This window comes from Homo sapiens, chromosome 4 (genome assembly GCF_000001405.40).
Source record: "Homo sapiens chromosome 4, GRCh38.p14 Primary Assembly".
NCBI classification, from domain to species: Eukaryota; Metazoa; Chordata; class Mammalia; order Primates; family Hominidae; genus Homo; species Homo sapiens.
This window is the reverse complement of record NC_000004.12, coordinates 174,635,344-174,660,716: the sequence shown is the minus strand read 5'-3', so window position 1 is coordinate 174,660,716 and position 25,373 is coordinate 174,635,344. Positions and strand designations below refer to the sequence as shown.

General features: G+C 34.4%; 1 protein-coding gene across 8 annotated transcripts in view, besides 1 other annotated feature; it reads left to right on the top strand.

Annotated features, from left to right (window-relative positions):
- GLRA3 (glycine receptor alpha 3) overlaps positions 1 to 23,797 on the top strand; it is a 192,328-nt gene extending 168,531 nt beyond the window's left edge. For 4 of the 8 annotated variants that reach the window (XM_047416195.1, NM_006529.4, XM_017008630.2 and 1 more), the window contains 3 exons: positions 1,520 to 1,663; positions 3,930 to 3,974; positions 16,653 to 23,797. In XM_047416195.1, the coding sequence (XP_047272151.1) occupies positions 1,520 to 1,663; positions 3,930 to 3,974; positions 16,653 to 16,931 (468 nt within the window). In that variant the 3' untranslated portion in view covers positions 16,932 to 23,797. Of the gene's footprint in view, positions 1 to 1,519; positions 1,664 to 3,929; positions 3,975 to 16,652 lie in introns of those variants that run through there. The other 4 variants (XM_047416196.1, NM_001042543.3, XM_047416197.1 and 1 more) reach the window with 2 other exon arrangements.
- Positions 14,005 to 14,299: a silencer, noted in NCBI's record as "tiled region #9800; K562 Repressive non-DNase unmatched - State 23:Low". NCBI's record gives its function as "represses a minimal TATA promoter and a strong SV40 promoter by Sharpr-MPRA in K562 cells {active_cell/tissue: K562}" and the evidence as "EXISTENCE:reporter gene assay evidence [ECO:0000049][PMID:27701403]".
- Positions 23,798 to 25,373: the final 1,576 nt, after the last annotated feature.

The window sequence follows — 25,373 nt, the reverse complement described above, 5'->3', positions numbered from 1 at the left end:
AAATTAGAAAATCACCACTGAGTAACCATCATTGTAATAATTGCTTCAGGCAAAAATCATCAACGAATGTTAAAACTAGTGTGTGAAGATTTAAAGAGTAACAGAATACTTATATAGCTTCAAAATATTCCATGCATGGGAAGATTAGCAATTTTATAATAGAGCAACCTAGCAGACATTACCTTCATCAATTGATCAACATTGTGTGCCTCCTGATATGATGCACTGTGGAGAACAGGGAATCACTGGTTGGGAATTCCTACTAAAAATCCATCATCTGAATGTAAATGAGGAAATATCAGGCAAACTTTAGAAAATAACTGGCCTGTACTCATCAAAAGTAACAATGCCACAAAAAAGCAAGGAGAGACAGATAATGTCCCACACTGAAAACTAAAGAGATATGGCAACAAAATGCAGCACATGATCATGGATTAAATCCTGGGCTGGAAAACAAATAACAAAAAAAGTCTGTTTTTTAAATTAAAAAGGGCATTCTTGAGACAATTGGTGAAATGGGAGGGATTTAAGGATTAGGTGGTAGGATTTTATCAATGTTATAAATGTCAAATTTTTGATTTTGTTGAGTGTATGGTGTTGTGTCTACAAATTACACTCAAATAGTTTGAGGGAATATATATATGTGTATATATATATACACACACATACACACACAACAATAAATGTAGTTAAATATTAACGACTGAAGAAGCTGATAGTCCTTATTACTATTTTTTTTTTTTTTGAGACAGAATTCTACTCTTTTGCCCTGGCTGGAGTGAAGTGGCGTGATCTCGGCTCACTGCAACCTCTGCCCCCTGGGTTCAAGCGATTCTCCTGCCTCAGCCTCCCAAGTAGCTGGGATTATAGGCGCCCGCCACCACACCCGGCTAATTTTTGTATTTTTAAAACAGATGGAGTTTCACAATGTTGGCTAGGCTGGTCTCGAACTCTTGACCTCAGGTGATCCACCCGCCTTGGCATACCAAAGTTCTAGGATTACAGGCGTGAGCCACTGAGCCTGACCTCTTTGCACTATTCTTATAACATGTCTTTATAAAAGTCAAAAAATATTTCAAAATAGATAGCAAATAACCATATATTATTTATAAATGCAATGAAAGAAAAATATCTTAACAGAATTAATAAATACAATTTTAATTTTTTTAAAAAAATTGATGAAAATATGGAACTAAAAAGCCAACAGCATTATCTATATTTCAATGTTCATACTTTTCAAGCAGTATACTGTTCTGAAGGTAAAATTATATTTCATCTTATGTTTTCTTTCATCGTGTTTGGGCTATTGCCTAAATTTGAAAAAAATTAACAAAATGCTCATAATACATAAAATTTACAAAAATAACTAAGGAAACTTCAAGAAAAAATTGTCATTTTCTTTATTTTTTAAAACTTATGTATAAATGACATAATTCAGAATCAGAAAAACTCAGTTTTGTTCTCAAAGGAAGTAACAATATAAGTGAATTTGCTTGCTTTCTCTTTCTCTCTTGGCTAGGTTTCATATGTCAAAGCTATTGATATTTGGATGGCAGTATGCCTCCTTTTTGTGTTTTCAGCACTTCTGGAGTATGCAGCTGTAAATTTTGTATCAAGACAACACAAAGAACTTCTGAGATTTCGACGAAAGAGAAAGAATAAGGTAAGTGATTAAACGTATTGGGTTTGGCAGAATCCAGTTTTCACTCGAAAGTGAATTTGTTGTATTTAATAGAGATGAAAAGAGAAGCAATTGGGACTGGGGATGAAATGATATAATATTCCTTTCATTTTTTTCCAATCCAAACTAAAAGTGTCAAAAATAGCTTTAGGGAGAAAATGATGACACCTAGCTCTACTTTAAACAGCATATCCGATGACATGGGACCTATATCAAGTTCTTTTTAATGCGCTTCCTGGAACAACACTTTTTAAATTTTAATTAATGAATTATGTCATTTCTTACTTGCAATGTTAGAGCATTTCTAATAGTTTCACTTGATATAAGTCATCAAATGTAATTATTCATGTTCCTTTGTCAGAGCTAATTCATTTCATTATTTCCATCAAATATTACTTATTTACTAATACCATGATGATAAATACATGCAAATCTCTGTGGTCTCTTCTTGATGCATATTGTCATGAGCTAAAGACATTTCTTTTGAAACCCTGTGGGAAACACAATAAAGTGCTTTTGTTGCCTGGCTACTATCTGATAAGTGATGAAACCAGGAGGAAACTTAGAACATCATGAAGACACCGTAGGAAGTTGCAGAAGTAAACCCCTAATTGGATTTGGATGCCCTAAATGAAGTTCTTCCTCTATGCAGAACTGTAATGGCATCTTCCTTGACATGCATGTGGTTTTGACCAATCCCCTTTCTTTTTCTATAAGAGAGAGCCTCTATCAACCGCAGATCCACGCATTTACTTCTAATGTGAATGTGCCAACAGACATTTTAAAAGCAAATGGTCTTTTAAAGCAATGGACAATAATGTCAAAATTTTGTGTAATTGTGGCAAGGATCCAATATCCTGGCATATTTGTCAAAAGATAAACCTTAATGGTAACAGTCTAGTTCACATAGTGTGCATTTTTAAGTATTTAAAGGTTTCAATTTTTTAAGGTTTCTTTATAAATTATACTGCAATTTATGTATTGATTAAACTTCTTTAAAAAGCACTAAGCTTTGACCTCTCAGTGCTTGAATCTACTTAGTATTAAACATATTCTAAAGCAGTAACTTTACTTATCATTTCTAATTGGCCTTCCCAAAAGCATCACTGCTCCAATAAACACACAATTAACAGCTACGTGGAAAGAACATCAGCATTCAGCATCGGGAGATTTAGTAATACATGAACAAAAAACAGGCTAAGACTTGCATTTAATTAAATTTTTATGAAAACAGACGCATATCTTTTGTACACTGAAACATATTGTGATGGGGAGATTAACTTTATCTTCTTCCCTCACCTCACCCTGGTCTACTGGTCTGTTACATTTCTCATTTCTCCTCATTCTGCCTTTATCTCTTTTTCTTCCTCTTCTCTCTCCCTCTCCACCGCCTACTTTCTCATCTTTTCTTTCATGATAACTGGCACCGGTTGAACAACGACAGTACAAATGCTGTATCACAGGGATGACACTCTGGTCTTTCTTCGTTACTAGTAACTGATAAAGACCACTTTCCCTTCTAGTATCATTAATTAGAAGTAAAGCAATACGCATGTTCCCTATCATTATGATTTGCTTTTTGTCATTTTGGTTTTCCATTTCTTTACCTTTTTCCTTCTCCTTATACAATTTAGAATGTATCAAGCATGTCCTGTAAATTCTAGAAAAGAGAAGTATTGTGCATCCGGTGTCCAAATGGGTAAACTGTGAAAGCTCAGACATATCCTACATCCACCACACATCCAGTAATCATAATATCCAGTAGAAAAAGTATTAGACAACAAGTTTAGATGCTCAATTCTGGTTCCTTCTTTTAAAAAATTATTTTTACCAAAGTGCCTCTTTATTCAGTTTTACCACATGTAAAAGTGAAATTAAAATATTTGATGCTCCTTCCTCTTTAGCTCATAGAAAGAGGGAAACATTCATTTTCTCCAGTGATTGGTACCCTGGGAAAATGCAGAAATGCAAAAACAATCATATCTTATTATTTTCTGATAACTACTTGATATATTCAGGGAGCAAATGTAATTAAACATAATTATGATTTAATGAAGAAAAAAGGTTTTTTAAGTTCAGTTTTGTATGTTGGGGTAGATACTTTGCATATGTGAAAATCTATTAATTGCTACATATGTCTGTTCAAATGGTATATACAATTACAACCAATTGTGTAATTATATTTAATCATATATGAATTGATTCTCTGGTTTCTCAATTCCTCTTGGTCCACTTTACCTTCCCACAGACAGAAGCTTTTGCACTGGAGAAGTTTTACCGTTTCTCAGATATGGTAAATTGACTTTCTTAACTCTAAATAGAGGAATGTGGTCATCAGTAAAAAGCAGACAGCATATTCTGCACTACCAAGGCAGTGTTTGGTGGGGAAACACAGCCCCTTTTGTATTGAAAGCTGAGCAAATATCATCCCCCTTCAGCTAAGAAGGGTATTTTCTTTTTCTAAAAACTTTATTCTTGTCTTCTCTCATCAATAAAAGGATATTTAAATATTACCCTTCATTTTATTAACAGAGCTATTTGATTGGTCAAAATGATTTAAAAATATATGTTAAAGAGAAATATCACATATATCTTGTAATAATCACCAGAGAAGAAACACTCAGATGCTTGCATAAAATTAGTTGAAAATAAATGGAAAATTTATTTATACAAACAAATTCTAAAAGCAACTGCACAAGAGACCTCAAAATAAGGCAACAAAATGCTTCGTGCCTTCTGTGTATCTTTAGAATCCATTCTAAATGTTAAAATATGTTGAGGTTACTTATAGCAAGTGAACAATTTAGTTTTGATAGCAGCATCCTTTGAAATTATCAAATAAAAAGAGGTCACAAAGACACATGTCCAAGTATAATGACTAAATATTAGGAAAGCAATCTAAAATAGATAGTTTGGGTCTGTACGTGGTTTAACTTGGGGGTTCATAATATAGTATGCAATAATTAAACAGAAATCTACTGAAGCCAAGAATTTAGCCTGAGAAGTCACACACAAATAGTTCTGTCTACTAAACTTAATTTCTGGGGTAAACTATATTTATAAGTAGTTCTCCAGATGATTCTATTGTACACTGCAGGTAAGCATCTCTGCAAGAGACTTAATGTTAAATAATTCTTGCAGTAATCTCAACCTCATAACAGATTGTCTAGACCTGGTATTATTTTAAAGTACTTGCTACGTTCTCTTATAATATATAATCACTCAGCGATTGTCCTTTGCAACTAAAGTTTACATCTTATTTCCCAGCATCCATTTCTCCCTTTGTTTTTCATCCCTGAAAGATAATTTCACATGATCCACTTGCTTTTATTTGATTATCTTAACTGTAAATTTTTCATTGCATGGAAATTACATAATTAGATATAGTGTTTGCAATATATATTTATAGATACAAGTAGGTATTAGACTATACAGCAGACTCTCTAATCTTTCTCTGGGAGACCAACATAATTATATCTCCAGTAGCTAAACAGTTAATGTTTATAGAAACTATAGAGTGAAAGGTACCTATTTAATTAAATATTACTTTATGAAAACTCTAATGAAAAAACAGGCTTATCTTATGGGAAGTCAATACATTCTTATTTTTATAGAAGAAACAATAATATAACACAGATATATTCATAAGAAAGTTTATACATCCCATTTGTTTTTAAAATATTTCAAGCATTGGGCAAATTTGGGGGTGGTTGTTTTCTTTGACTTGTTGAAAACTATTTCCCTAAACTAACAATGCTCTGGGCTGATCAAATTTGTCATTTAAAACTATGTATTTTGCTTAGAAACAGTCTGAGTAATCTAAATTTTGAAATAAATAGAATCAAAATGAGTCTCAATGTTGGTACTATGCCCTTTATTGTCATGAGTACTGGTTTACATGAATTTTCTTCAGTACTCTAATTTGGCAGAACAGGCAAAGTAAATAAAATAGTCTCACTGTAGAAAGTTTGTCACAACAGGGGACCTTACATTAATGCAATTATTATTCCTAGGAAAGTTTTAACTAGGCTCAGCATTGGCTTAGTTATTGTATACCGCTTTTTTAAACTTACTTTTCCCTCTGTGAAGGTACCAGAGAATCCTGCATCTATTGTGAAAGAACACAAGTTTGCTCTTGTATCCAAATTTCCCCACCCCACACTGTCCCAGCCTGCTGTGTGCTGATTACGCACTGCACCATGTCATGGATGCTATCTCCAGTGCTGTGTGTGTGTGCTTGTGTGTGTCTGTATGCATGATATGGAAGCATTTTGGTTAGAGTCGCTATTCCCATGTATGATATCATTACTTTAGTCCTGGAGGCTTAAAAAGACATGCCAAGGTATTTCCGAACATGTTATTTGTTGAGAGATATGAATGAAATGAGATTGCTTTAATGCATTTCATGTAGCTTCCTCCACAATGCAATGTAATAGTGCAATGGTTTGCTGCAAGAAAACATAGGCACACAGTATTCTAGTGCCTGTTTCCCTACTGATGATTATTTATTAATTATTATTTATATATGCAAATGAAATAGGAATGGATCATTAGTTCTAGATTTAAGAAATCCTAGCCAAGTTTATGTTTTGCTAGGCACAATGGTTATCTTTTGAAAAAATAAAGATATCATTGACTGCATTTTGACCATCTGTACACAAACTTTATTTTATTTGCTTATGTTTTTATATGCTGTCTTACTTTAAAAATAATTCATGATAGCTTCTAAGGATAATAAATAATTGATTTTCTGCCCTGTGCATTTGTCAAGTCTATAGTCTAAGGATAAACACAAACGTACGTATATACTATTCTGATGAACGTGAGAAGGATTCACGGTTGAAAGCCATATGGCATCCATATACACTAATTATTCAATAATCTTTCCATTCCAGGTCAGCTTATGCTATTCTAGAGCTAAGATGTTCTTTAAATAGATAAAGTGTTTCCTACAAATGTCTTTCATGCATACCCGAAGAAAACTTATTTCCCAATAACTTAGATTCAAACAAAATTCTGTTTGAATGACTCTACTATCAGGAGTTGAAATCGCATCCTCTCAAATAAGACAAAAATTGCAAGACTTCAGTTATTCCCTGTAAACAAATATTTAGATATTTAGTTTATGTTAAACGCAGCTATTTCTTATAGCTATATTCTCTGAAAATCTGTTCAGGAAAATAATACTTAATAAAATAATATAATCTCTGTTCAAATTTACATGCATTTTAGTGACTTCCATCTCAATGTTAATTAAAATAGAAATGCTGCTTTTTAACATATGATGTCTATTGTAATACCCTATGTCACTCCGTAATTATAAGTTGGCAGTAAGTGAATCTAACATATTATGCTAGATATAGATATATAGATTTTTAAATAAATCATTCCATTGATTTCTTATCCGTCCTCTATAATATTTCATCTAAAACATTCATCTTTTTAAATTTAAATTTTACCATTTATCAATGTCCAAACTATTTCTGAATCTAAGTTTAATATGCCAAGTGTATACTTGGCTAATTAATAGCTAATTCAGATGTCATCTATAATAAATGCAGGGTTCTCTTGGAGTGAACTTTCAAATAATTTTATATTAACGATTGACTTACAACAGCAAAGTATTTTTTAAACCTCATCTATAATTGCATTATTTTAGACCTTCCATTTATAAATGATATAAAAATGTGTGTAGATATATGAAACTGAATATTTTATTTTAGACAGATATTTTAGAAAAACAATTTTAATTCATTCACATTTTTCATCTGTTCTTCATATTCTCAAAGGACAATGATTTTTCCCAACAAAATAAGTCATTGCTGTTTATTAGCAATTTAAAATAATCTACACATTTTGAAACCATATAAATAGAGATTAATAACAATTTAATTTTCCTTTGTTTTTTACATTCCTATTTGGTAATAAAGTTACAAAAAAGTATTTGGCAAAAAGACATTTGGAATAATCTATTTAATACTTTAATTGTATAAGCATTGCCCCAAAGGTACCTACTAAGGGAGAAACTTTAAGATGCAAATAATGTGTTTAATGCTGTTATATCTTACAGCAATTCACATAATCAATACTTCATGCTGTTCTAGATGCTTAATGTTTTGTTCACACTCAATAGCAATATTCATGCCTTCATCACTCTCACATCCACATAAGTTTTCTTTTTTCTGGTCAATTTTGAGGACTAAGAAGAAGATACAAAATTAGTCCTTGCCTCACACATGTGTTAATATACAGTATCATGTTTGGTGACAGAGATGAAGCAATTTTATTCAATGACTGTATGCACCCTTCTATTTTCTGTCTGTCTCTAATATTTCTAGCTATAACTTGCATTTTATATGAATCAGTGCTTGGCATAATAATTGAAATAAAATGAAAAGAGACATACAAAGTCTCACAGTATGATATAGAAGCATAATGACTGAAATTTTTTTTTGTCAGTTTTAAATTTACAGAAAAAAGATACTCCTGTAAAAAGAATTGTGCAGTAGCTAAATGGTTATCTCCATTCTTCGTTGCCTACCATTCTAACTTGCTTGAAACATAGTAAGAAGGTTTACTTGTGGGTAAACTAAACTACTTCTTTAACTTTTTAATCAGCGATTTTGCCCACTTTCTATATTTTATGTTGTCAAGGGCCTTAATTTTATAACCACTAAATATTGGCTAACACATAATGTCTCTGAGTCAAAAGTTCTAGACTTATTTTTTATTCCTTGCTTTTTTGACATGTAATCCATGAGAATGTAAGCTGAAGCTATTTCCAGAAAATTAAATTATCTCAAAAAAAATTTGAGTGCTAATTATAATAAGGAATATCACTGCACACGTAAGCATACATAAACACAGGATAATTTATGACTGGGTAATGCAAAGCAGAAAAATTAGTAATAAAATATTTCAGTGCTTCTTCTAATTTAGTAATCTAATAATAATAATAAGCTGATAGAAAAGCTTCATCCATGCTTAAAATTATTGTTTAGGTCATTAAAAAAAAAACTTGATGTTTTTAAGGTCCAGGGGCTCATGGTCTCTCTCATCCCCTGTCTTACTGCGAGAGCAGACAGGACCCTGTACAGGAGTCTGTTCCTTTCCTTCCCACAGAGTTGAGATCCTGTTTCTGAAAGGGGTCTGATATGACTCCACATGCCTCATCTCATGGGCACATTCAAAATGATCTGCACTCTTTCATGGAACACATTTAAAACACAAAGACTCTTTGGTTCCATAAATTAGATTTGCAAGGAATTCTAGCAGTCACATGGCAAAACCCATGTATTGTAATAATAAGACAGTGAGGACTTGAGGGGTGAATGATGTTTTTACTTTTATGCTGTTGGTTAACCTTTTAGTGTAATAGTGCTCAAATGCAAGGCCACCTGGAGAACAGGTGACTGGGTAGGCCTATTTTACATAGTATTTTAGTGCTAGTTTGGTTACTCTGAGTTTAAAACATCTAATAGTAAAATGATTCAAGTTGTTATTTGTATTCTTTCCTATTGTGCTTTGTGCAATTTCTAGAATAATGTAATATTACACTCAAAATATGAATAATATAATAGCAGCAATTTGAGTGCTTTGTCCGGTGGTTTATATATTTTCTCTCACCCTAAAAGAACTGATAGGTAGTATAATAAATATTTTCCTGGAATAAGAAACCAATAATCATAAAGTTAAGTAGCTAAATTAAGGCTATGCAGACTTTCCATGTCCTTGTCATCTCATCTTTAATAATTAAATGTTTTAATTGGCCATTCCAATATCCGTTTAAGCCTTTGCTCTCTGGGCAGATGGGATATGAGGTACTCTTCCTATGCTGTGCCCTTGGGCCATGTTGTGCATTTTGGGCTAAAATGTGTTCCTTTGTTCAGTGAGATCTATCTGAGAAGCCCAAGCTAATATAAAGATGCCTTGTTCCAAGCCCTTAATAGTATATTCAGCTATGGCTTTTGTTACAACGTAAACAAAACCCAAGATGGAATATCTGTCAATTTCAGGCAAAAGCCACTGAATCCTCCAGAAGCCAAGGGCAAGAACCCTAGGTATTTCATCTACAGCTATGTGTTAGCACTTGTCCATGGAAGATTCAAGCCAAAAGCAATTTTCATACAAGTTTTCTCTTGTTGATACTCAGGACAAGCTCTCACCACATATGGGACTTTCCACTGGTAAACTAGATGGTCTGTTTTGCCTCTGTTGAAAGAGAGTCATGAGGTTCAGACCATTCTGGGTACTCAGCTGCAGGGTCCATCATTGGCCCATTGTCACACAGAATTTTTTTACATGGACATGATACACTTCAGCAGAGTCACTTCCCTTGAGTTGGTCTTGAATACACTATTTTAATTTTGCCAGGGCACTTAGACTGGAATGCCTTTTTGACATCACCCATGATGGGGTAGGTATTTCAGGCCTAGATATGGACTGATGCCTTTCAGATTCCTTTGGTCTGGGCGGCTGTTTCTAATCAGAACTCAAGAGAATGTCAGTAGCTGTCATTCATGTAGCTTATACCTGCTGACAGTGTCAGAGGATTTTCTAGTCTAGAATCCTAGCAGCCACCTTAGAGTGCCACTATTGAGCTTTTTCCAGAAACTCCAGTCTATGTGTGTTTTAGCAGCAGATACTTGCACAATCAGTGAATGTTAAGACCTCAGAGGGACCAGCTTGGCTACTGCGTGCTTTAGATCTCTCACAGTCTGCTTTAGTTTCCCTTTGAAATTCAGTCTGGTTACTTTATACAGTGGGGCCAACAGAAATCCAAAATGTACCTGCCAAATTTTAACAGTGCCACAAGTTTTTTCTCTTTTTTTTAATAATAGAAAGCAGAAGAAATAGCAGTTTGTCCCTTAATGTTTGTGACTTGTAGCTAATGTCCTCAGACAAGGTTATGCCTTGTAAGTGGACTCATGGGGCTGGACCTTGCACCTTATCTGGATTAATTAGCCACCCGTACCTAGTCACAGGTGCCACTAGTTTCCAAACTCTTCCCTGACTTTCTGCTTGGTCAGGGAAAGTATCACTTATTAAAAAACTTACTTTTGACAATGATCTGGACCAAATTGTTTCTTATCCGGTTGTGACAACATACTGGAGAATTTAGGCTCCTTTAGGGATGGACAGTAAGATTATAATTGTGTCCACCTCACATGAAGACATGCTGTGTTTGACTTTTTTTTTTACCAATGAGACTAAAAACAAAGCATCAGTCAAGTCTATCAAATCCAACCAGCCATCTCTGTCCTGAACTCTTGGATAGAGTTTTGCGTCCAAAACTCTTGAATAGTTTTCACCACATCCAGCCAGCATGGTGGAGGCTGTTGGGAAACTTCTTTACTGAACCCAAATAGTCAGCAGTCAGCCTGTAGGATCCATCTAGCTTTATCGTAGGCCAGACAGGCTATTCTAGAGAGAATTAATGAAAACTACCACCCCTGCGCCATTCCCTTAATCAGAGCTGAGAGTTCCTGTAATCTTCCTAAAAAGGACGAGTTAGGCAATTCTAAGGGCTCCCATTTTATTACATCCAATTAAAACTGGGCTAAGGAATGACTTGCCCAGGACTAGGCTCAAGCCAGAGATGCCAAGATCCTTCATTTATGTATCACATCCTTTCCAATCATACATTTGGTTAAAGGCAGTGCCACCTACTGAGTATATCTTACTCTCTTTTTTCCTACCTACAGTTTTTAGTGTGACCATGATACCTGCTACTATAGCTGATCCTTTGCCTCCTTCCCTGCTCAAGCAGCTTCTGTTTGACTCTTTATATTGCTTTCCTGTTCCCCAGCATATTACCACATATTTTGCTTTGGCATCAGGTAATTGCAAGAAGCTGTGTTCACTACCCCCATGACAATTCATCTTTAACCATAGCACAGCCATAGAGCCCCATTAAGAATTGGGCATGGAAATCCTGGCCTTCGAGTCAGTCTGTTTCTTTCAGCTGCCTTAACTGATGGAGTAAATTTAGCAACCTATGTCAGTGCCTTTTGTTTCCATTCCCCATTGGCACCGTGGGATTTAACTTCTGAGCTGAAAAGAACAGATCGAACAGGGTTCCTTAGTGGAGTCCGCTGCCAAAATTGGAACAGATTTCCGTCCTCCCAGCAGGCAATAATCTGCTGGGAAATAGTTCACAGAAATCCTGTCAATTTTTGCTGTGTTCTTTTTGTGTCTTAACAGCCACCTAAAGAGAGCTTATAGATGTACCTCTGGCCATGATCTTTCTTCTGAACAGCCTAGATTTTCTTCTCATCAGTAAAACCCAGTGTAGTAGCTCCAAGAGTTAATATACCCATGAATCAAAACACCCTCCTGCCTTCCCAGAATGAGGGCCACATGCCTAAGGACTCTCCTAACCCAGTGCTTACCCAAGTTTTGGTTGGGGGATATGGTTTGGGTAGGCTTCTTTCTCATTGTCATATGGCCACCCCAGATTTGCTGCTATACTTAACATATCTACTCTTCTGTAGAGGTGTTACATTTCACAGCAGTGAGAGCATCAGTCAGTCCTTCTCAGCAGAGATTGATTGATTGATTGATTGATTCTGAGATGGAGTTTTCACTCTTGTCATCCAGGCTGGAGTGCAATGGCATGATCTTGGCTCACTGCAACCTCTACGTCCTGGGTTCAAGTGATTCTCCTGCTTCAGCCTCTCGAGTAGCTGGGATTATAGGCATGTACCACCACGCCTGGCTAATTTTTTTTGTATTTTTAGTAGAGACAGGGTTTCGCCATCTTGGCCAGGCTGGTCTCGAATTCCTGACCTCAGGTGATCTGCCTGCCTTGGCCTCTCAAAGTGCTAGGATTAGAGGCGTAAGCTGCCACACTCAGTCCTCAACATAGATTTATACCACCCCAGGCTTCACCTACTCCAAAAGAGTCATTGACATTACACCTGCCAGTAATTCCTGAATGGTAACACTGCAGCAGATTGGGGGTTAGCATTCACACCAAACATTACTTTTCACACTACTGCATCCAAAAATATGTTATCAGCTCCTTAGTCAATTAAATTAAAGATGTAGGAAAGCATGGATTCCCTAGAGAACTGCTACCACTTCTTAGCAAAGTGACCCAGCTTCTTTATGCTTTGTCCAATTTGGTAGCTACTAGCCTCATGTGGTTATTGAGCACTAGAAATTTAGAGTCTGAATTGAGATGTGCTGTGAATGTAAAACACATGCCAGGTTTCAAGGACTTTGTATGAAATAAAGAATGAAAACTATCTCAATTTTTCCTTCAATAAGTGTTGAAAAGATATTGGGAACATACTGAGTTATTTTTTTTTTCAAACTGAAGTTATTTTGACCTGTTGCCTTTAACTTGTTAAATGTAGTTAATGTAAAAATTAAAATCACACACATGGCTTTTATTTGTGGCTCACATTATGTTTTTATGGAACAGGGCTGCACTATAGTCACTAGTTTGCAGTGTCACTTGCCTGGAGTTGCAGAAGGGAAGATTAAAATTAAGGGCAGTGTCCTTCCAAGTACCAACTGGGCTTTTGTTTTCATCTTGAGCTCAGGTCATGAAGCTGCTTGCTTTACTGGCTGTGTCTCTTTCCCTTGAGTAGTTTTTTCCATGAGTTTTTTTTTTTTTTCTTGAGATGGGATCTCTCACTCTGTCACCCAGGTTGGAGTGCAGTGGCGCGATCTTAGCTTACTGCAGCCTCTGCTTCCCGGTTCAAGCAATCCTCCCACCTCAGCCTCCAGAGTAGCTGGGCCCACAGGCGCCCACCACCACACCTGGCTAATTTTTCATAATTTTGGTAGAGATGGGGTTTCACCATGTTGGCCAGGCTGGTCCCCAACTCCTGCGCTCAAGCAATCCACCTGCCTTGGCCTCCCAAAGTTCTGCGATTATGGGCGTGAGCCTCCGCCCCCAGCCCCCGAAATTATTAATAGGAAACAAGGAATTAACTGTCTCTTGAGCCACTTTCCTCTCAATTTTATCTCACAGATCATCCATCTGCCAATTCAACAGGGGATAAACCTGTGCGATCCATGTTCCAATAATAAGATTCAGCATGTTATTTTCTGTAGCACTTTGGCTACCTCAAAACCGGATTGGATCAGCATCAGATTCTCCTCAGAACTCCCTCCTGGAACATTTGGCCATATTGAGTCTCAAAGGATCTGAAAGCCTGGTCAGCTTCTGTCCACCACTGCTGAGATTTGAGGTTCCAATTGTCATACAGACTCTCAGAACACCCATAGGCTTTAATCTAACCTTATGTTCACTCAGCCCCCTAGGAGGATGTGAGGCAGGAAACCCATCAGACCTCCAGCATCTGCCTCACACAGGAGACTCAGCAGGTTCTCAAGAGCTTCCTTTGCCCCTCATCACACAGGACACATAGGTACAGCTGCCATGGACAAAAGTCAGGGTGTTTATGATTGCCTTCACACAGGGAATCACAGCCTTTGTTCCAAACCACACTTGCATACCATCTAGTCACATGGGCCAAAGGTCTTCAGGCCAATACACAGCTCCCCCAGTGCAGGTGCAGCCCCTCACAGTAAAAAAGGCCGACTCCAATTCCCCCTGTAGCTTATCTCCATTGTTTTCAAGGAAATGATGCTTTAGGAATCAGGGGTCATTCTCAGCACTACTGTAACAGCCCAGGCTGGGTATTAACTCTTTACTCACCCTCAGCTATATGGAAAGATACAATTGAGAAAAATTCGGTTGCTCACTAATATGTTAATTTTAAATAGATTATGTTTGTTTTGAGATGAGCAGCTAAGGTCTCTAAAGATTTTAAAATAAGTTATTCAGAACAGATCATTAGAAAGGTAGTCAATGAATTCTGCTTTACTAAGCACATCAGCTAGAATCCTGATATCTGAGCATTTTGATAATGAATTTCTCAACTGCTTCAATTAACATGTCAACACCTCATTGGAAATGCTCACTGAGAAGTCATATTTTGTCTTACTTTGAGATAGATGTCTTTTAACACATAGGTTGCTATAGTTTAAAAGCCTATTTTATACTTCAACATTCAGGTGATTTTTACACAAAATAGTGCAAATTACCTGGGTAACCTACATTTTCCTTTAGAAATGCAAACACCAGCATGATTTTCTAAGTTATAAGGATGCTATTTTAGCATTTACATAAGAACAATTTAATTCTAATTTGTAGGATATGGAAAACTTTAAGGCAAATAATAAATTTGCCTTAAAAATTTCATGGACGCCAAAGAAATGGTAGTCTAAATGAACATGCTTGTTAAAGAGTAGTGGAAAATCGATTTTCAATTTTTGCGAGCTTACAACAGTAGTCTCAGGTAGTTTGGACTGTCAGTTTTTCTTTCAAACTTGTGTCCTCAAAATTCAATGGCTTATACATCTTACAGTTGAAATATTTTCCAATAATCATATACTTTTGTTTTGCAGGTGGAATCACGTTACTTTCATAATTCCCAAAATAACTATTTTATACCTTACTGCATCAATTTTGGTCATCTTCTCATTTTTAGAATCCATAATAATTTCTATTTTTTCACTTTCATATTTTATAATATATTATTCATTGAGGAGCTACTTTCACAGAACCAACATCATTTTCTTTTTTTTTTTTTTTTTTGGAGACGGAGTCTCACTCTGTCGCTCAGGCTGGAGGGCTGGAGTGCAGTGGTGCGATCTCAGCTCACTACAATCTCCACCTCCAGGGATCAAGCGATTCTCCTGCCTCAGCCTCCCGAGTAGCTGGGACTACAGGCGTGTGCCACCACACCCAGCTAATTTTTGTATTTTTAGTAGAGATGGTGTTTCAGCATACTGTCCAAGATGGTCTCGATCTCCTGACCTTGTGATCCACCTGCCTCAGCCTCCCAAAGTGCTGGGGTTACAGGCATGAGCCACTATGCCCAGCCCATAATTTTCAAGAGTTCAAGCCAATTATTTGATCTTTTATATTATTATGAAAAAGCATTATCATAGGAGAGATATAACAACTTTATTAAATGTCTTCTCATCTTTTAGACCTTCAATTTAGTAGCCAAATAAACCATTACTCATTGGTAGCCAGCTACCATTACACTCTAAATAAATGTGTTAAAGTAAATTATTAATAATTTGCATTGTTATTAAATATTATATTTCTCTCAAGTATATTTCATCATATATTATTAAATAATTTTTTATTTAAATTTTTCTTTATTCCCTTCATTTACAAACATGGAAAATTCTCTTCAGTTTGCCACATTTAAAAGAAATGATACTTTTTAGAAGAACATAGTAATAAATTTATGAAAAGTTTATGTTCTTAACATGAAATAAACTTCTGCCAGATATAATTCACAATTTCAACCAAACCAATGTGCCTGGAACATAGTCATATATAAACTAGAATACATGGCCATCTTCTAAGTATTCCAAAAAGGTTAGTGTAAAACAGAAAAGTAGCATAAAGGGAGAATAACATAAACCAAACAGTATTATTGAACTAGACTGTATTTTCTGAGGAATTGACTTCGAATTGAAAGAAAAACTTTAAAAGGTTTGTCTCCATGAGAAAGAAAAATTCAGTCAATGATCCTGGTATGTTCCCCTTCGACATCACACATTTATCCATTTAAAAAAAAATGCAAAAAAAAAAATCTAGTTTATGAACATATATAACACAATAGATTTTATCTTGTTTTTTTTTTAATTTAGATATTCAAGCAATATGTAGAAAATATCAGAATTTAGTTTTCCCATTAAAACATACCCTTTGGGATTTCACATTTATTAATGGGCACAGCTATACAATGCAGCAAGATAAATTAATAAAACTTCAATAGGGAATAAAAACCAATTCATCTTTATATGCTTCGGTTATCTTTTCCTTATATTAATGTAAATATTAACCATGATAAAATTGGTTATGATTCTGAGATGCCTGTTATACATGCTCTATTGTATTATTAAAGGGCCTTGTCACATTTTTCTTTGACAGGATGATGAGGTAAGGGAAAGCCGATTCAGCTTCACAGCCTATGGAATGGGACCATGTCTACAAGCAAAGGATGGCATGACTCCAAAGGGCCCCAACCACCCTGTCCAGGTAATGCCAAAAAGTCCTGATGAAATGAGGAAGGTCTTTATCGACCGGGCCAAGAAGATTGATACCATCTCCCGAGCCTGCTTCCCATTAGCTTTTTTGATTTTTAATATTTTCTACTGGGTTATCTATAAAATTCTTAGGCATGAGGATATTCATCAGCAGCAAGATTAAGTCTCTGGGGGCATGCAAATGCAAATGGTCAATTCAGAAGAAAGTGTCTCTGCCATAGGTGTGTATGTGTATATGTGTGCGTGTGGTATACAAATGATGACCATTGTATTAAAATGGCATATGGAAAAGCTTTGTATTTTGGTTAGCTATGCAAAGTCATGAGAAAGATGAGATTCTTTTAATGAATATAAAATATTTATTAGGGGATTCTATTTCATATTAATTCCAGGTGATTTGTTTTTTCACAGTAAACCATGTAAGTGGAAGCTTTACTGCCAATGTGTTTATATGTTATATAATATCTCATAATAGTAGACATGAAAACTACTTTGAAATTCCTTGATTTGTAATTCAATGCTATTAAATCATACAAAAGCAAATTTTGCACAGTAAACCAATAGTTTGAGATTTAAAACTATTTTCTTATAGTATAGTTACAAAATGGGAAAATAATTAGTTACAGTGGGAAATTCACTCATATTAATGGAGGATTGTACATATAAATACTATTTAAACAACATATGTAATTTTGAAAATTTTTAAATAAGAGCATTAAAAGACTTTAATGATTTGGAATACTAAATTTAATTGTTTAGAATATTAAGTTTTCCTCTGTGCAAATTTAAAACAAATAACAAGAGATCGTGTTACAGTCACAATCTACTTTTCTTAAACTTTGTATCTCTAGGAACGAAGGTGGAAATACGGGAAACAACTTTGTTTTTAAATAAGTATTATAGCTATGTATTTTTAGTTATTGCCAAACATTGAACAATTCAAGCCAGCACCCTTGTTTTTGTTAGACTTTTAATAGCTACTTAACTGTATGTGATTGTGTTTAATAATTTGATATAACAGGACAAAATTCAGTAAGACTTTTATATTTTAGTTTAGAATGTGACTTTAAAATTCAATGGGATTAAAGTATTTACATTTTGATAAAAATGAATACAATGAAAACAAAATGGATTCATGGAAGATTTTTTAATAAAAACCATTTTCCCATCAATGTTTTATGGGTCTCAACTCCTATCTCCAAATATAAGTAGGGAAAGTTTTAATTTTAAATGATATAAGTAAGTCATTTCTATAAAGTGAGGACTCTTTTTCTATTTCTGAATTAATGATTTCAAAATCTAAGCCATTCGCAAGATGTGAATAATTTTAAATGAAATTTTTACATAAAATTTTTCAATGACCCCATGGGATTACTTCAACAAAAACAGAGCATTAGTAACTTGTTTTTTGCAGTGTAATTGGGTGCAAATGTATGATAGAGTTCTTGGTAAACAGAACCAGACTCTGACTCTTTTTCAGTTTTGCTATTTTTTTAACTATTTTTACCATAAATTTATTTGGAAAAGCTTTGGAATGCTTTTTAGGTATTTTAATTATTGGTCAGATGCACAAACTCAGTCCACCAAATTATTCACAGAGAAAACTTTAAAGATTAAGAAAACAATGAACTCAGATGTACAATAGAAAAGCCAGTTCTTTAACAAGATGCTATTTTCTACCCTTCAACCACTTTCAAATTAAAAGCAAAAACTACCATTTAAAACTAAAACCTTTACAATGTTATTGTACATCAGCTTATACAATTGTAATTTTTTAAAATAACATTTTAAAAAATAGTAAATGTTAAGCAGTTTTTGCTAGTAAAAGACCAAGTTCCCCTCCTTTATAAGTAACTTAAAACAACACTATAAGGAAATAATATCATGTTTGGCATTATGTGCAAATGACACAACCAAAAGAATTTGTTACTCTGTAAGTACCCACGTTGAGGACTGTGCACCTGAAAATTAAACATATGCTTCTTCATTTGGTGTGTATTTAACAAAACCATGGAAACATATTCTTGTTCTAAAGATTAGAGCAAGATATGTCATTTGTATTCCTTGAGAATTAGCAGGAGAGTTTGAGGTAATTATAAACTACATCATCTCGATGTGTCTCTGAAATACCTGAATACGTTTTTCTATACTTTCCACATCTTATTTCAAAAGTTTCCCAACATTGCTTAAGTGAATTCTGCCAGGAGCAAACAGAAATATAATGAATGCAAACATGCTTACTTCCAAAAGAAATTCACAGACATCACTTCTTTCCATATTTGAGAATATTATAAATGTGTCTTTGTTAAATCAGAAACTTAGAAAGTGAAAATACCAAACATGAGACAATATTGTCAACAAGGACGTTGGTACATTAGAAATCTATCTCAAAAGTATTACACTTTCCTTAGGCATAGTTTTCCTTTCCTATTATATTTGTCACTGTCTTACTGCACTAAGAAAATACTTTAACAGCTTTCACTCACAAGGCAACAGTGACAAGGTGCATGTGGCTGAATCCAATATGTTTAAAGGAATGTGTCTCCTCCTTCGAACTCTTATAGACCTTTTAAAACTGAAAAATTACATTGCAGTTAGCATCCTGAGATAATATTTGCCTCAATAAGCCCTGTGTCCAACCAGAATATTTTAAATTAAACCAACCACAAAATTATTAATGGCAAGAAATTAAAAATGTGTGCATATACATTAACTACTAAACACACAAATTGGAATTCCAATGTGCATATTCTGAAGTATTTTAAAATAGCCACATTAGAAAATATGGGATTTTCATGTATGCAGTTTATATCATTTTCTTAAAAAGAATTATTTGTATGTCAATCATTGAAATATTTGATTCCATAGCATATGAATTTATAGGCTATCTTATACATTAGCATATATGTGCCCAACCTTTTCTTTCTTTCCCAACCATTAGAATTGAACTTAAACCATAATGAGGCTCTAGAACTTACTTTACAACTTTAAATAGATTCAAGAGTCACTGTATTTTCAAGAAAGCTGAGGGTGTTTAAAACTTCTCCAACCCTTCCAAAAGTTTCTCCATGGCGCTGGAGACCCCATCCAACTCTCAGTGGCTATATTAGGGAATCATCCGGACTGCTCATCTTATTCTAAAATTAATTCTTATTCTGTTGATATATTCTAATAACTTTTATCTTAATTTGGAATTTAATTGCTTGTATATTTATATATCCCTAAGACATGAATTCATGTATTAGTTTATGAATACCCAGGATCTCATGGAAGGTAAGGGAAATTTTAGAAAAAAAAATGAATAATCTAAATGTTTAACTAACAGAAGAGAGCAAGCTGTTCACTACTTTAGTACTCAGTGCAACTTAAGTAGTTATAATATTTGAAAAAAGATTTAGATGTATCTTCCATACTATACATCCCTTTTTCTGAACATTTTTTATTCCACTTTTTAAAATATGCTTTTCTATTTTTCTCAACACAACATACTTCAACCTGCTGGTTACTTGGGAGGACTGAATATTATACTGGCAGCTAAATTTTTATTTCATCTATAAAGTACACATTCCAGGAAATGGACATGAGAGAATACAAGAGACTTGCCAAAATTGAAATGGAAAATACTTGCAGTATTTTGTAAATGGAAAAGAAGGAAACTGACAGCATTGTTTTTCACAGGTGTCCCCTAAAAATTTAGAACACTCTAAGAACAAAACTCTGAGAACAAAAATGTATCTAATGATCCTTAGACAGATATCATTAACAATCCTTGAGGTCATGATATCTTCTACTCCAAAAGTGATTCCACACTCTTTGCAACATAGATAATAGCATAAACTCCCAAAATTTATCAGCATATACGACCTATATTTTTCATCTAGTTAATATTGAACTAGCAAAGAAAAGCAAGCCATTCCAAATATAAGACAATCTGGTGTTAATACAATATATTAGAAGAAATAGTGTAAATGTTCACACAGATTCCCTCTTGCAAATAAAGTACCCATAATACCCATTGCATCTTGTACCTGTATAAGAGACATCTTCCTCAGCAGATGCATTGGTTTTTATTTCCTTATTTGTGTGCTACAGTGGTAAATATAGCCTCACTGCATTTTTTTTATTGTTATATAAACCTTTCATGGATAAATAAGCAGTGTACACTGTAAATTGCATTAATTTAATTAACTTTAAAATTAAACTTTTATCTCAGCCCCCATTCCTCTTTACAAACATAGTGATATTAAAAAGTGAACTTCCATAGGGAGACACCTGGTACTCCAATTACTTCAAAAGTAAAGTGATGCATATTCTTCCATAACAAAGATACTTATAGGCCATGTGTAAAATATAACTCTCTACAATTTAAACGGAACTAGGGCAGGGAAAAATATCCTGGGGAAGCTTCTTCCAGATATGAGGACAAGAGATATAATCCCAAGTTAGTAGCTAGGACCCACTTACCTGTTTTTTTGGTCTACATTTTACATCTTAATAATGCCTTCATCTCTTCCCTTTCCCTCTCTCTCTCTCTCTTTCACACACACACACACACACACACACACACACACACACATACACATATTGGTAATGAGATGAATTCCTTTAGATTAAAAATACAAAGACAGTCAATTTTTCTAGACAAAGGTTCATAATCCTGTGATATGTTTTGCAATATTAAGTGATTCCTGGTGGAAAATATGAACCATGCAGTCATTCGATTTGGCCAGCTCTTAATCATGCAACAATCTTTTGCCTCAAAAACACATAAACAAAGCTAACTGGATCAAGTCTTTAACCCTTAACAATCGAATTCTAAAACACTATTTGAACCGTTTTTGAAGAACAGCTAAATAACTGTCAAAAACCTTTTTCAAAAGACAGCTAGTAATATTGGATGACTTTGTAGTGTCTGAACAGGTGGTTTTCTCAGTAGTTTTTGTGGTTAACACATAAACAAAGAGGAGACATTTAAGGTGATGGAGTATTATTTTTAAAAAGTGATTTTGAACCCTGGCTATGTGTTGGAATTCCTTACACATTTTAAAAATACATACATATGCTTGGTGTCCAACATAGAAGATTATGATTTAATCATTGATTAAACAAATATTCATTGAGTACCTTATGTGTGCCTGGCACTGTCCCAAGTGCTAAATTTAGTATTTTTGGAATAAGATCTGAAATTCTGGATGATTGAAAAAATTCCAGAAGTGAGAGAATTCGTGTGAACTTACACAAGCTTATTCTCTTAATAAGGATCAATTTAACACTTTTTAAGTTTTATCATTTTTTCTTTCTTCAAGCAACTAATTTTAGTTGTCTCTCATTTATATTCTTAGAATTAAAAATAGGCCCGGCCAGGTGGCTCACGCCTGTAATCCCAGCACTTTGGGAGGCCGAGGCAGTCAAATCACTTGAGGTCAGGAGTTAAGACACCAGCCTGGCCAATATGATAAAACCCTGTCTCTACTAAAAATACAAAAATTAGCCAGGCATGATGGCAGGTGCCTGTAATCCCAGTTACTCAAGGGAGGCTGAGGTGGAAGAATGGCTTGAGCCCAGGAGATGGAGGTTGCAGTGAGCCAAGATCGCACCACTGCACTCCAAACTGGGTGACAGAGTGAGACTCTGTCTCACAAACAAACAGACAGACAAAAAAAGAATTTAAAATAAATCTTTGATGCGTTTCAATTCAGCTTTCCTCCCAATGTCAGAATCTTCACCATTACATTATCCACATTCTTCGAGCACCCAGATAGCAACAGGTAGCTCATTACTCTGAGGGCAGTCTTCTGTTCCATTGTGACATAACTCTAGATGATAAAAATGTTAATCTTCATCAAGAAATGACTTTTACTTCCTAAAATACCAAGTAAGTTTATTCCCCTCCTATAAGACAACTAGCATATATTTTCACATTTCTGCTGTCTGTGTTTAAGTTCAATCAACCCCTTATCACTAGCTTTATTCTTATTTAAACCATTCATGAGAGCATTGTAAGTGTTAAACAATGATGAGATATTTTCAGGCTTATAAAATAATGAAATATAAAATTAATTATCTACATAGATAAATAGAAATTGATGAAAATTTCTATGTATATTATTTTCAGTAACTGTTAATGTCTTCCTATAACAGCAATAAATTTAAATTAAATATTTTTAAATTTATTTCAGATATGAAGATATTATATAAAACTCTACAAAGTAATATGAATTTAAAAAAACTAGCAGCAAACCATATTAACCATATTGTGTGTTTTTAGAGTAAAGCTATAACAAAAGTACAGGGGATTAAGTTGTTTTATTTTAATAGCTGCTTTTACTCTGGGGTGGTTTTAGCAATGGCGCCTTTGGGCAACCCCGCTCACATACACAGTATCCAGCCTGGGTGGTTAATACTAGGGAGCTGTGACTTAAATGGCAGGAAAGGATTCAGATGTAAAATTGTACTTGAATATGCTTGAATAATTTTGCACTTCTTCACTTTTTTCTCTATGAATTATTCAATGGTCATTACTTAAATTTGTATTTTAATGTATGATAAATGATAATATGGGGGGGGAAATAGAGTGAAGTACCCTGACATTCTACAGATATAATATGATATGCTATGAAAAACAAAACAAAAAGAAAATGTGCCATATATTTTCCATGTACCATCTTTATATGATATACAGTGACTTCATTATTAGTGAGTCAAGTTGTTTAAAGGACTACCAAAAGAAGTATTGCTATTTTATGGTTTTTATGGTGTAAATTATTTTTCTGTCTTCTTGAGTCTTATGTCTAAGTCTGTCTTCCTTGTCCAGATGCTGTCATATTTTTCCAGGAAATTATACTGAAAACATATTTAAAAATTTATGCACGATTTCATCAACTTGTTTTTCATTATATTATATTTAGTTCAATTTTGCAACTAACAGACTCTCTATCAGAGTCATTAACCTGTGAACAGTATAAAGTATTTAACATGTAACTATAGATAATTTGATCCGAAACAATAAAAATGAACACTTTTCAAGAATATGGATACCTCTTTTGTCTAATTTTTTTAAAGACCAGATTTTACCAAAGAATCATGTTGTCTTCCTGACAAAAGTCATGCTACATTCCTGTTCTCATGGAAACTATTACATCTAGGATTACAAAGTCAGTGATATATCATTCAGAGAAGTCTTAATATATGCATTTCATTATAGGAAAAGCACAATGAGAAGGATGGTGAATGGAACTTTTCTACTAAGGATAGAATGAGAGAAGAAGTATTACTAACTAGAAAAATGATTTGGCATTAGTGTATTTGTAGTTTTTGTTTGTTTGAAAGACTTCTTAAAATCTGTTTATTGAATAAACCACTTTCACTTGACTTACCCATAGAGACTATTTCAAAATGGAATACTGATGTTTTTTTAAACCTATAATTTCATCTTTCTTTTTTCCTCCACAGAGTTAGACTGGAGTTTAGTGATAGAATAGTAGTAAACAAATAGGAATTGTTTTTTTTTTTGAGACGGAGTCTCGCTCTGTCACCCAGGCTGGAGTGTAGTAGTGCGATCTCAGCTCACTGCAACCTCCGCTTCCCGGGTTCAAGCAATTCTCCTGCCTCAGCCTCCCAAGTAGCTGGGGCTACAAGTGCCCGCCACCATGCCCGGCTAATTTTTTGTATTTTTGGTAGAGATGGGGTTTCACCGTGTTAGCCAGGATGGTCTCGATCTCCTGACCTCATGATCCGCCCCCCCTCGGCCTCCAAAAATACTTGGCCTCCAAAAATACGCCCGGCCAAGAAATTTAAGAAAATATTACTATTTGGTGTGTGATAATTAGTCTATCATTTTTAAAGTACCTATAATTTATATGTAATAGTGTTTGACACTTTTATATATTGACTGGCACAAAGTTCAGGAAAAAAACTTAGATTGAAAATTCCTTGCTAAATCAGCATGATGATTTTCTTCAGTAAGCTGGCCTTCACTAATTGCTTATGTGGTTCATATCATGACATCAGCAAAAACTCTGTACTGAAATACTGCCATAGAATCAGTCCAGGTCATCTGTAAGTACAAGTGTTAGCGATATCTATAGGTAATGGATCCCTAAACAAAATGTATAGGAATAAATGTAATGTGACCACACTAAGAATGGAAAGAAGCTTATTGGTAAACTGTGATTAATTAAGTCAATTTATACTACTATGGTTTAAAATACTTTCATTACTCTCATGATATTCATCATTTTCCATATCACTACATTGGTTATTTTTCTTTACATAGTTTATTTCAATATACTCTTGCTGACAGTTGCTTTCTGCCTTGATAAACTGATTTTCTAAATATATTCCTTCTTTGTAATTTTGTGTAATTTGCATTTTTAAATACGCATTCATTGGAATCCTAAATTGAATTAGACCATATTTACTGAACTATACTATAAATATTTAGTTTGTTTTTATGTTTCTTTATATTTGTATATTTGACCCCATGTGTTGTCTTATCAGGTTATCTCTGTTGATGCTCTTTATCCAACATTGTACTGCTCTGACAGTATTTAAAAATTCACTTGGGCAAACTGTTAACTGGAAGCTGGGTTGTGAACAGAAGCTG